General features: G+C 31.3%; 2 protein-coding genes across 4 annotated transcripts in view; one reads left to right on the forward strand and one right to left on the reverse strand.

The window, feature by feature from the left end:
* The window catches only part of NECAB1 (N-terminal EF-hand calcium binding protein 1), a 167,619-nt gene extending 163,712 nt beyond the window's left edge, over positions 1-3,907 (forward strand). For both annotated transcript variants that reach the window (NM_022351.5, XM_011517213.3), the window contains one exon: positions 1-3,907. In NM_022351.5, the coding sequence (NP_071746.1) occupies positions 1-26 (26 nt within the window). In that variant the 3' untranslated portion in view covers positions 27-3,907.
* The window catches only part of C8orf88 (chromosome 8 open reading frame 88), a 26,923-nt gene continuing 15,588 nt past the window's right edge, over positions 2,985-14,319 (reverse strand). For both annotated transcript variants that reach the window (NM_001363275.2, NM_001190972.2), the window contains exons 5-6: positions 5,256-5,362; positions 2,985-3,544 (exon numbers count right to left, since the gene is read on the reverse strand). In NM_001363275.2, the coding sequence (NP_001350204.1) occupies positions 3,521-3,544; positions 5,256-5,362 (131 nt within the window). In that variant the 3' untranslated portion in view covers positions 2,985-3,520. The remainder of the gene's footprint in view (positions 3,545-5,255; positions 5,363-14,319) is intronic.

Consider the following 14,319-nt stretch of genomic DNA (forward strand, 5'->3'; position numbering starts at 1 on the left):
CTTCGTGGTGGATCCTGAACAACTAGATGTTCCTAGACATTTTCTTTATGGTTCCAAGTGCAAAACAGGTGTTCTTATCTAAAACGTCAATTAGAAAATTATCTGCGGTTGTTAATCTACTGTATATTTTTGTTTGGTATATTTACTAAGTGCACTCTTTCAAAACTTATTCTATAACTTTATCAATTCATGTGAATTTTAGCTCAATTTTCAAAGTTCACTAATATTCTCAATATTTAATGCTAAATGCTTTGCTACATTGTAACTCACCTAAAACCTTTTAGTGACAAAATCCTAATATGTGGAAAAAAGCATATGCATAAAGGAATAATATTGTGAAAATGAATCTGTTATGATAAAGAAAAAATAAAGTGGAAACTTTTAGAGTATTACTTCATAGGGCAGATTTTGTAAACTGTCGTATACTGTAAAGGGTTAAATCAGCGTTTTGTGATTTTTAAGTAACTGTGAGTGAAGTTTATTCTTCAACAATGTCTACTCCATCCCCAACCCAACTCACAGCCCTATGACTACTATCTTTGCATTAGTTAAAAAGTTAGTATATAGGCATCAAACAACCTTGGCTGTAACCTATAGAATCTCTATCCACGTATCAGGTTATAGACTGGTTTTTCAAAAGTGAACAATCCTGTGATAAGTTGGAGTACCATTTAGTAATACAGCAACATTGTGTCATTTATTAGCATCATAATTCTTTGTTATGTAAGTTAAATATATCAAGAAAGAAGAGACTGTTTGGAAAAATGTGGTTCAAGTTTTATGCTATATAGTTTTGGTATGCGATACAGACAGCTAACTTTTCTTATGAAAAATACATATTTGCATGTAAACAATGATTTCAAAATACTTGAAAAATAAAATTTTAACCCAAATGAATAACTAAGAAATATAAAACAAGCACAAAATCTTAGGGAAGTCATAAAATAGTAGTGAAAGTATTAGACAGAAGACATCTGTTTTCGAATTTCAACACTAGAATGACTAAAACTATCTACCTATAGAACTATCTGTAGATAGTATACTATCTACACTCTGCTCAACAAGCTCAGAAATTAAATATTTTTAATAATAAAAATCTGTTCTGGTTATAAACCTTGCTAATGAAAATACAATACATATAAAAATGTATAGCCATGTTATTTTCTAGTATAAATTCCTTTGAAACTATAAGTCTTTGAGGAAAATTATAAGGTAAAATTTTCCTGTTTTTCCCCCTTTGAAAAACTCAGGAAAAAAGGAAGATTGAACTAATAAAATTTTATTTCTTAAATATAAATTTGACCTAAAATATTTTCTCAAACTAATTCATGAAACAGCAACTTTTACCAATACCTTTGTATACTCTCAGTTCTCATTCAGTATAAATAAAATTTTAAAATCCTTTCATAGTTCTATTAGAAATAAGTAGTAAATTTTGATATATTGTACATACACACGTGTGTGTGTGTGTGTGTGTGTGTGTGTGTGTGTGTGTGTGTATTTGTGTGCCTCTGGTCAACTCTAAGGATGACAGACACTGTGTAACAACACCTGGGTCAACTCTTTTAATTTATATACAAAGCAAAGAACAACATTAATGGAGATGCACAATGATTATTCAAACAAGCTATATATATGTACAAAGGCAAACAGACACATAACAGTCTCTGCAGACTGATTGTATATAGTAAGAAAAGATCAAAAGACTTTAAAACCTAAATGACTTTTGACATACAAACTCTTCTTGAGAATGTTTGTTGTAAATGGTTTCAAAAATACAAATTATAGCCAATCAAAACATTGCTTTGGTTGGTGCATTTAAGTATCCAACTCAAAAAGCATATCAAATATTTTGGGTACTAGGCAGTTTCCAAAGTAGCATGGTAGTATTACTTGTTAAAAGGGTTCTGTTTTCATTAACAGTACTAAGTGGAAGGGATCTGCAGATTCCAAACTGGAATAAGCTCTATCATATTCTGAAACAAGAATTAGAATGACTTGAGAACGGGCAAATAACAAAGCAAACCAATATAATTATATGGTCATTCTGACCCCAGCTCTTATACAAATTATACATGTATTTTTGTGTATGTTTGTGAGAGTTGTATGTATGTGAATGTGTGTGAGTGTGTATTCACATACACATATATACTGGAACCTATAGTAGAAAAGGAAACTAGTAGGGCCAAAAAAAAAAAGAAAAAGAAAAAGAAAAAAGAAAAAAAAAGAAAAAACTGGGACCTAAGTATAAATATCTCATCCTAAAGTAAACAATAAGTTTATAGTTAACGAAGATTTTTTTCTATTTAAAACCCCATTTTCCTAAAGAACAAAGTAGTAAAATAAAAAAAAATTTAAAAAATTAAAAAATAAAAAAAAGAGGTCACTAAAAGACCAAGATGGGAAACGTAACATGGAATACAAGCTTGAATCTGGGAAACAAGCTCAAAAAACAGTGAAAAAAAAAGTACTGGTTTAGGAGTTCAAAATTCAGTGAAACAAACTTTTTGCCAATAGACCTAGGGATCTAAGAAATAGAATTAGGGAGAGTTTACACTTACTTACCTATATATCAGCAGATTTTTCTGGAAGAAACCCTTTTTTTTTTTTTTTTTAAACAGTAACATCCAGAGTGACAAATTGCAGGAGATTTAATGTATAAAATTTCTAGGAATTAAAAGCTTAAACCCAAAAATTGTTCATCCATATATAAGAAATTATCGAATTAAAACTTAATGTATGTCAATTATTTTCAAATGTCTAAATTCCTTTGGAAATAAAAATATCAGTTTTACTTTGAAATTGCTCAACTTCTGCTATTCATATGGTCTGATTAGTGACATAAGTAGCAGCCGTTTTTCAACTTCAGTTTCATTCACTACCATTGTTTCCAAATTATCAATCTCTGCTAGTAATTATGAATTTAAGACCATATTATTATCAAAAACCTAGAGACCAATCATATATCTGAAAAGAAATACCCATTAAAAATTCTGCCTCCTGTTTATTGAGAACTATGCATTGAACATTCTGAATCATTCTAAGCCTCTGGAGAGACTGTAATGATCCATTCATGAGCTGGTATGAAATCAGTGGGAAGCAGAACAACAGAAGGAACTTTAAAAGCAACAAGCAATTATGTACCATATATACACTGTAGCAAATATTTTATATTTGAGAGTCTTTACAGCTTACATTTCCATTCCATTATTACAAGTGATGAAAAACAAAAAATTGCAAGTAGTATGCAAATTATAAATATACAGTCTTCCCACTTCACTAACCAAATTCCTACTTTCCAGTGTTACTTCCCAATTTATGCAGGAAACCTCCTGCAAAGCTGAAACTGATTAGAAAATTCTTTATATTTTAAAATAGCTCTTTCTCATTTTTAGAGAAGTCAAATAGCCAACCATCAAAATTAAGAATAAATTGAATTGTCACAGTCCATTACAGTTATTGTTGCTAGATCCACCTCATTTGCAGATGTCCAAACTTAAATTCATCTGTTCTTAAAATGCTACTTAAAACTTTGGTTGTTTTCCTGTAATATAAAAGAAAAAGTTAATTTATCAATTGATTGAATACAGTTTTTACTAATTAGTTTATCAAACCAAATACTGTGAACGTACCAGGTGTTTACAGATTTAAATGCATGTTACCATAGAAACTATTAAAGTAACTAGAACTGTCAAATAACAAAACGGCTCATGTTTTTAAAATATATGTAACTCATTTTAAAATATATTAAATTGTATTCCAAACCTGTTCTTCTGTTTCTGTGGCACCTAGGTTTAAAATATGTATTAATGTGTAAATCACAAGTAAAATGAATTCTAATGTACAAGTTTGTTTTAAAAAGTGTATGTCAAGCTTTTATTTACACAATAAAATGTTATTAAAGATGGAAAGTCTACAAATGAAAAAGTGACTATAGTTTATATAGCACTGAAGTTTACATTTATTCTTACAGACCATGGATTACATATCCCAAAGATCTTTGAACCGGTGGGAAAGTTGAAACATCAAGTACATTTTTTCTTATTTAATATTTATGCATGAGAAGTATTATAAAAAATTTTAATTCCTGCTTTAATTAACTTTAAAAAGAATTGGCTAGAGATCTAAAGTTAGGGAGTTTAAGAAATATTAATATAAACTATGAACAACATAATGTTTTTTAAAAATTATAATTTGAGGAAAAAAATACTATGAATTCCAAAGAATTAGAATACCAAAAATGGAGATAGAAGGTAGTAGTGTTTATCTCCCATTCGAACTGTTCTCAGTATACCTATATTCTGAATCTCATTTCAGAAGAGTCCTAGCTGCCTTTACCTATATAAAGGTATTTACGAAAACTCTAATAGGAAGTTAAATTCCAGTCAAATGTAAGTAGAGACCACAAAGAATGGGAATCATTTACTAAAAGCATAATGAGAGAAAGGTATCATACTCAGTAATCTCATGCATTATTTTATTAATCCTAACAGCCAGAGATTATCATCCTTATCAGCAATTGCAAAACTTATCATCCTTATCAGCAATTCAATGAGGTTAAGTGACTTGTCCAAGTTCGAACTACCGGTACACAGAATGGAGCTACAATTTGAAGCCATGTCTGATGACAAAATCCATGTCCTTTCCAATGAATATCCTAAGAGATGCATGTATGTATTTATTATGTGTATTTATTTAGATGGAATTTGATAAGGTAACACAGAAATATAAAGGGCTAAGAATAGCAAAGACATGTTAAAGAAAAATACATGAGATGATTTGTTATAATGTATAAAAAGACTAATTGAACAGAATGGATAGCCCATTAACAGACCATGCATACATTGCCACAAAGATGTCAGAGAAGTACCCTTTCAATAAATATTTTTAAAATGACTGGATATCTATGTAGAAAAAGGTAAAACTTGATGCCCACCTCACATCATAGAGTAAAATTAATTCCAGGTGGACAATATAATTTAATTGAAAAAATAAAACTTTTAGAGTATGGGATAATATTTTCATGACCTTTCCATTAAAAATATTTCTTAAACAAAATACAGCTATTCCATTCTATTTTTTGAACAGAGTTACTTTATAATAATTGGTTATATCTTTAGATTTTTGTAGTTTTCTGAATTACTTATATCTTATAATAAGGAAGGTTAAAAATCTAGAGGTAGAGTCTGATGAAAATGTTAAAGAAAAATATTTTGTAATATAATATTACAATACAAACTTAGAAAACTACTTACTGGTTTTTGCAGTACAATGGGATGATCAGGCAGAAAGTCTGGTTTTTTTCTGCAGATGGAAACACTTGAGAGCTTCAACAGGAAATCTCTGCTGTATTTAATTCTCTCTGTAGATATTAAACATCAAATATAATGTTAGGAAATGTAGGGCTGTCTAGATCACTTTTTGGTTCATTTCTTTCTGGATGTCCTCTATTCATTATATAAAATGATGAGTCGTGTGTCTATGCAAAAGAGAAGGAGAAAAAAGGCTTTGACAAGCATCTACTGCCTCCAATTCTCCTTTTACATAGAAAGAAAACCAAGTAACCAAGGAAACAATGAAAGAAATATAATTAAGAAAATGGGAAATGCATGGCTTTTTTCATCTGGTTATTCAGGTCTAGTAAAATGATCTTGTGTAAAATATAACCACAGTAATAACTATTGGGCAATTCAGATCTGCCAAAATGTTACTTTAATGAGTCTATCAAGTCTCAATCAATACTAAAAACTTAACACAATAAAAATAAATTCAAGAAACATTTATTGTACATCTTACTATGTATCAGGAACTGTGCTAGGTAATAATGAATAGGACCCAAGATAGGGCCCCTATCTTCAAGGAGAACAATGTTTCAAATATCTGCAGATTTCAAATCAGAAATGATTACCAGAAACAATCACCAAGACAGATTATATGCTGTCCCAGAAGACAATGGAATAATATTTTTAATGTGCTAAAAGAAAAGAACGGTAACCCAGAATTTCATGTCCAGTGGGGGGGAAAAAACCCTCAGAAATACATGTGAAGGAAAGACATTTTCAGATAAAGTAAAACTGAAAGAATCCATCACTAGCAGATGTGACCTTCAAGAAATGCTAAAGGAATTTCTACAGGCTGAAGGGAATTATACTAGATGGAAACTTTACTGTTCAGAAATGAAGAGCAAAAGAGATGGTAAATAGGTGGGTAAGTATAACAGATTCCTTTTTTTCTCTAAGTTTTATTTTAAGAAATATGTATTACTGTTAAAAGCAAAAGCCACCACAGATAATATATAGATGAAGGGTGTGGCTATGTTTCAATACATTTTTATTTATAAAAACAGGAATTGGTCTGTAAACCATAATTTACTGACCCCCTAAACATTACATTAAAGACTACAAATTGACAGAGTGGATTTAAAAAATAAGAAGACCCTATTATATGCTGTCTGCAAGAGACACATATTAAATATAAAGGCATATAAGTTGAAAGTAAATGGATATAAAAAGATACACATGAAAAGACTAGGAATAAGAAGGGTTGAATTACTATCCTTACATCCTATCAACTAACAGGTAACAATTATTAATGTGTTGTTCCTAATACACAGTTCTGAAATACATCGAGGAAAAATTAACTTACCAAAAATTTTGGGTCTGGCTTCTTTCATTTAACATTTTTGAGGTTCATCCTTAATCTGGAACATTCTACGTAGCCAAACCATCAATCAAGTGTGAGAACAGAATAAAGATATTTTCAAATATGCAAACTCAAAGAATTCACCAACCCAATACCCTTTTTTCACGAAACTCCTGGAGAATGTACTTGAGCAAAATGAGGACATAAATCAATAAAGAAGAAAACATAAAATTCAAGAAATGGAGGTAAGTGAAGTCAGGGAAAATAGCCAAGTAGAGAACTCTAAAAGTCTTTCACTCCACAAAAACAACAAGTAAGCTCATAAAAACTGTCAGAATCAACTTTCTCAGAACCCTGGACTCTAACCCAAAGCCTGTAAAAACCAGGGGAATACTTAGTGAAGAAAAAAAAATAGCTAAATTTGGGAAAAATTTTGTGGCATTTAACTTACCTGGGACCATCCCCCAGATAGGCCATGGCCTTGAAGACAACAGCCCTCATTACTTTTATAGGTTCCCAGAACTGGAGGGAGTAGTACAGACTTTATTCTCAAAAAATTATGATTATTTGTTTTGACCTTTCTTATAGTTCCCTGAGGAACCATCTTGAGAAGCTTGCCTGTACTTCACACCTAACTAAGAATTCTCCTAGCATTAAAGCTGCTGCCCAAAGTCCATTTGTCCAAACATTTACAGGAAAATGTATCAGTTGCTTCCACCTGAGACAAGGGATAACAATTGGAGCAAACATTAGGCATACCAAAAAGTTTCGGAGGAAAAACTGAAAAAACAGGATGCTTTGAGGTAGAAGGGCAGTGAAAGAATCCCAAATATTCTTTCTAGAAGCCCACATGCATGTCAAAGCTAGGCTCATGTTCACAGAAAAACTTGAGAAGATCCTAAGCACTCACTCCTGGCTGACTTTCAGATTCCTACCAAGCAGGAAATGAAGGTGAAGGCAGAATTGAGGTAATACCTCAAAATACATAGAGGCCTTATGCAAAGGCTGAAAGAGGGGCTTCTTTGTTTTTCAGTTTGGTATGGTTCTAGCCATTGAAGGCAATTATGTCAAATCACCAGCTGACCACTAAGATAACAGAACAGAGACTTCCATGGTCATGCATGACAAAGAATATAGATTTTACAATATTAGTTTGGAAAAGTCACTAAGCTAACAACAACTACTACAACAAAGAGCAACAACAAACCCAAGGGAAGGAAGAAAATCTGACTTCCAGAGCAGCCACATTTATAACATTCAAAATGTCCAGTTCTCAACCACCACAACAAAAATTATAAAGCATGCAAAGAATGAAGAAAGGATGGGCTCATTCACTGGAAAAAAAGAAATAGAAATTTTCAGTAAGGAAGCCAAGACATTGAATTTACTTGTGAAAGGCTTTCAATATACTATTTTAAATATGCTCAAAGAGCTAAAGAAAATTATGAGAAGAGTGTCTCATTAAATAGAGAACATCAATAAAGAGATGGAACTTATAAGAAGAAGCCAGATAGAAATTATTGAGAAGTACAATAACGGAAATGACAAATTCATGAGAGGGTTTCAACAGCAGATTTGAGCAGGTGGAAGAAAGAATCAGCAAATTTAAAAGGAATTCAATTAACATTATTCAGTCTGAGGAGTAGAAAGAAAAAAGAATAAAGAAAATGAACAGAGCCTAAGACACTTATGGATTACCATCAAGCATACCAACAAATAAATAATGGGAGTCCCAGGAGAAGAGAGAGAAAAAGGAGAAGAAATGATATTTGAAGAAATCGTGGAATAAAATTTCCAAAATTTAACAACAAAAAAAGAATCTATACATCTAAGAAGTTCAACAAACTACAAATAGAATGCAGACAACCCCCAACTTATGATGGTTTGACTTACAATTGTTTGACTTTATGATGATGTGAAAGCAATTCAAGATTTCCAACTTTAAGCACTGGTGATTCTGTGACCAAAGACTCTCTGGGCCAAAGACTCTCATAACCAACATATTATATTTTCAACTTATGATGGGTTTATTGGGAAGTAATCCCACCATAAATTAAGGAGCATCTATCTGTATAATAAAAGAGATTCTTCACACATAGATACATCATAATCAATCTGTCAATGAAAATCTTGAGGTCAGAAAGACAGTAGCAATTCATCACTTACAAGAGATTATCTATCAGATAAACAGCTGATTTCTCATCAGAAACTATGGATGTCAGAAGTCATGTGATGACATATTTAAAGTGCTGAAATCAAAAACATGTCAATCAAGAAATCTATATCTGACAAAAGCTCCTTCAAAAATGAAGCAGAAATGGAGACATTCACAGATAACCAAATACTGACAGTTTACTGCTTGTAAACTTGTCTTACAAGAAATGCTAAAGGGAATCCTTCAGACTTAAAGGATAGTACACAACTAAAATCCACATGAGGAAATAAAGAACACCAGTAAATGTAACTACACAGGTAAATATAAAAGCATCAATAAATTTTCAGTATGAAATTCATCCTTTTCTCCCATATGATTTAAAAGACAAGTGCATACAAATGCATAATTATAAATCTAGGTTGATATATTACAGAATGTGTAAAGATGTAATTTATGACAACAACAACATAAAGGTGACTTTAGAAATATATATAGGAGCAATGTTTTATATAACATTGGAACTAAGTTGATATTAATTCAAACTAGTTTGTTATATATTAAATTAATACCCAACACAGCAACTAGGAACATAAAAAATATAGTAAAGCAAACTAAAAGGATATAAAAATAGTATACTAGAAAATATCTATTAAACACAAAAATATAATGGAGGAATTAAGTAACAAAAAAAGACGTATAGAAGACAAATAGCAAAATGGGAAGATTAAGTCCTTTTTTATCAGTTAATTACATTAAATGTAAATGTACTAAACTTTTCAATTATTATAAAAGGCAGAGATTGGTAGAATGAATTTTTAAAAATCATCTAATTATATTCTGTCTACAAGAGACTCATTTTGGATCCAATGACAAAAATAAGTTGAAACTGAAAGACTGTAAAAGATATTCAATTCAAGCAGTAACCAAAAGAGAGCTGAAGTGAGTATACTAACATTAGACAAAAATAGACATTAAGACAAAAATTGTTATAAGAGACAATGGACATTTATGCCATGATAAAAGCATCAATTCATCAAGAAGATATAAGAATTGTAAGCACATATATACCCAACAACAGAAAGAAAAACACAGAATTAAGCACAGAAATGGACATTTTAACATTAATAACTGGAGACTACAATATCCCATTCTCAATATTGGATAGGAAAACTTAACAGAAGATCAACAAGAAAACAGAATATGAACACCACAACCCAACTAACCTAATTACATATATACAACACTTTACCCAACAACAGCAGAATATACATTCTTCTGAAGCACACATGGAACCACAGCACACATGTTCCACACACATGGAACATTCTCCAGGATGAACTCATATGTTAGGCCACAAAAGAGTCTCAATAAATTTAAAAAAGATTCAAATCATACAAAGTATGCCCTATGACCACACTGAAATAAAACTAGAAATCAAAACCAGAAGTAAACTGGAAAATTCACAAATATGTGTAAATTAAAACACACTCTTATACAGCCAATGCATCAAAGAATAAACAACAGGGGACTTAGAAAATATGTGACAAATGAAAGCAAAGTCACAACATATCAAAATTTATGAGATGCAGCAAAAACAGTGTTCAGATCATAGTTTATAGCTATAAATGTCTATATTAAAAAAGAAGAAATAACTCCATATCTAACATTACACATTAAGGAACTAGGAGAAAAGAGCAAACTAAATCAAATACTAGAAAAAAATGAACTAAATAATAAAGATCAGAGTGAAGAGAAATGAAATAGAGACTATAAAAACAACAGAGAAAATCAGCAAAATCAAAAGTTGGTTTTTTCAACCCAAATGTCCAACAATGATAGACTGGATTAAGAAAATGTGGCACATATACACCATGGAATACTATGCAGCCATAAAAAATGATGAGTTCATGTCCTTTGTAGGGACATGGATGAAATTGGAAATCGTCGTTCTCAGTAAACTATCGCAAGAATAAAAAACCAAACACTGCATATTCTCACTCATGGGTGGGAACTGAACAATGAGAACACATGGACACAGGAAGGGGAACATCACACTTTGGGGACTGTTGTGGGGTGGGGGGAGGGGGGAGGGATAGCATTGGGAGATATACCTAATGCTAGATGATGAGTTAGTGGGTGCAGTGCACCAGCATGGCACATGTATACATATGTAACTAACCTGAACATTGTGCACATGTACCCTAAAACTTAAAGTATAATAATAATAATAATAATAATAAAGAATTCACCAACCAAGTCTCTGCTGTCTTTAGGCGACTCACCAAAAAAAAAAAAAAGTTGGTTTTTTGAAAAGATAAAAACTAAAAAACCTTTACCAAGACTGATTAGGAAAAAAATGACTCAAATTACTAAAATAATAAACAACAATGGTCTTGCATCCTGCAACTTTGTTGAATTTATTTTTATTAGCTCTAATAGTTTATGTGAATTCTCTAGGATCTTCTATATACACAGATGCTTCTCAACTTACAATGGAGTTATATCCTAATAAACCCATTATAAGTTAAAAATAGCAAAAGATGAAAATGCATGGCTGACTAGAAGTGGCATCTTGCTGATGCTGCCCAGCATCATGAGAAAAGTACAGTTTCTACTGAACAGATATTGTTTTTGAACTATCGTAAAATCAAAAACTCATAGGTCAAACCATCCTAATTGGGGAACATCTGTATAGGACTGTGTTCTCTGTGAATAGAGATGCTTTTACTTCATCTTTCCCAACTTAAATACCATTTATCATTTTTCTTGCCTAACTGCTATGGCTAGAACTTTCAACATAACATTGAAAAAAGAAACAGTGAAAGTGGGCACCCTTATCTTGTTCTTGATGGCGTGTTGTGTTTTGTCAAATGCTTTTTCTTCAATTGAGTTGATCATGTGTTTTCCCCTGAATCCTGTTAATGTGGTGTATTATTACTGATTTTGATATGTTGACTCACCCTTGCATTCTTGAGATTAATCCCACTTGGACATGGTATATAATCTTTTTACTATGTTGATAATAAAAAGTTGTTAGTATTTTATTGAGAATTTTTGTATCTATATTTGAAGGGATATTGGCTACAGTTTTCTTTTCTTCTGATGTCTTTGCCTTTGGGTATCAGAATAATACTGGCCTCACTGGAAGTGTTACCCCTCTTCATGTTTTTGGGAATAGTTTGAGGATTAGTGTTAATTGTTCTTCAAGTGTTTAGTAGACAAGTGTTTAGTAGAATTTACTGGTGAGAAGCAATCTAGTCCTGAACTTTTCTTTGTTGGGAGGTTTTTAATTACTAATTCAATCTTCTTACTTGCTATAGGTTTGTTCAGATTTTATATTTCTTCTTGAGTTAGTTTTGGTAAATTCTGTGTTCCTAATAATTTTTCTATTTTATGTAGGTTATCTAGTTTTTGGCATACAACTAACTGTTCATAATATTCTCATAATGTTTTTCATTTTCATAAATTCATAGTAATGTCCCCCATGAAATAAATTTATTTTATATATGATCAATGAATAATAAAAAGATTCCATTTACAATAGCATCAAAAAGAATACAGTACTTAGGAATAAATTTAACCAAGGAGGTACATGACTTGTACACTGAAAACTGTAAAATATTGCTAAAAGAAGTTAAAGAATACCTAAATGGGAAGATTTCTTATATTTATGGATTGTCAGATTTAATATTGTTAAGTTGGCAATATTCCTCTCAAAGTGATCTATAAATTCAACGCTATCCCTATCAAATTTCTAATGGCCTCTTTTGCAGAAATGGAAACGTTGATCTCAAAATATCAAATGGAATTGCAAAGACCCCTAAACAGCCAGAACAATTTGGAAAAAGAACAAAGTTAGAAGACTTACACTTCCCAATTTTAACAGTTACTACAAAGCTATAGTAATCAAAAAAATGTGGTACTGACATAAGGGCAGGCATATAAAACAAGAGAACAGAATTAAGAGTCCAGGAATAAACACATTAAACACATACACCTATAGTCAACTGATTTTCAACAAAGGTGCCAAGTCCATTCAATGAAAAAAGAATAGCCTGTTTTACAAATTACAATGGGACAAGTGGATACCCACATGACAAACAATGAAGTTGGACTTTTATTTCCCATCATATATAAAAATTAACTCAAAATAGATAAAAGACCTAAATGCCAGAGCTAAAACTATAAAACTCTTAGAAGGAAACGGGTAAATCTTAATGACCTTAGATTTGGCAATGATTTGTTAGATATGACACCAAAAACACGAGCAACAAAAGGAAAAATAGTTAAAATTCATCGAAGCTAAAAAATTTGTGCATTAAGACACCCTATCAAGAGAATAACACAATCTCCAGTAGAGAATGAAAAGACAACATATATATATATATATATATATATATATGCACACACTGGAAGGAGAATGGTGGCAGGAAGGAGAATAATAGATAATAGATAAGAGTCTAATATCCAGAAGTCTTGCAACTCAATAACAAAACAACTCAATAACAAACAACCCAGTTAAAATATTGTTAAACAACTTGAATAAAGCATTTATCCAAAAAAGAAATAGAAATAGCCAACAAGCACACGAAAAAACAGTATCATAATCATAAGAAAATGCAAATCAAAACCACAATGAGATACCACTTGTCACCCACTAGGATTGCTTATAATAAACAGAGATAATAATAGCAAGAATATTGAGAGGTTGGAAACCCTAGTACCTTGCAACTAAGAATGTAAAATGGTAGAACTGCTGTGAAAAACAATTTGGCAGTTCCTTAAAATGTTAAACACACAACTACCAATGATCCAGCAAGTCGGCTCCTAGGTATATGCCTGAGAGAAATGAAAACAAGTGTTGAAACAAAAACTTGTACGCAAATGTCCACAGCAATATTATTCACAATAGCCAAGAAGTGAAAACAACTCAAATGTGTGTCAGTTGAGAAATGGATAACAAAATGTGGCATAATCCACACAATGGAATATTATTTAGTCATAAAAAGGAATAAACTACTAATAGTGCTAAAACATGATGAACCTTGAAAACCTTATGGAAAGTGATAGAAGCCAGACACAAAAGGTCACATATTGTTCACAAGAGAAAGGTAAATGTGATGGATATCTCAATTACCCTTATTTGATCATTACACATTGTACATAGTTATGAAAATATCACGTGCCCTCAATTATTTTAATTGATATAAAATATGTACAGCTATTATATATCAATTTAAAAAATAAATTGAAAAAAGGTGACATATTGTATAATTCCATTTATATGATATGACCAAATAGCTAAATCCAAAGAGACAGAAATAGCTTAGTGTCTACTACATGGCCTAAGCAGAGAGAAGAGAAAGTAGTAACAGCTTAATGAGTATGAGGTTTCTTTCTAGGGTGATAAAAATGTTCTGAAATTGGTAGTATTGTTGCACAACAATTGTGAATGTACTAAAAGCCATTTAATTGTACATTTTTAAATGGTTAAAATGGTGACTGGGTGAATTCCACTTCAA

This window comes from Homo sapiens, chromosome 8 (assembly GCF_000001405.40).
Source record: "Homo sapiens chromosome 8, GRCh38.p14 Primary Assembly".
Classification (NCBI taxonomy): Eukaryota; Metazoa; Chordata; class Mammalia; order Primates; family Hominidae; genus Homo; species Homo sapiens.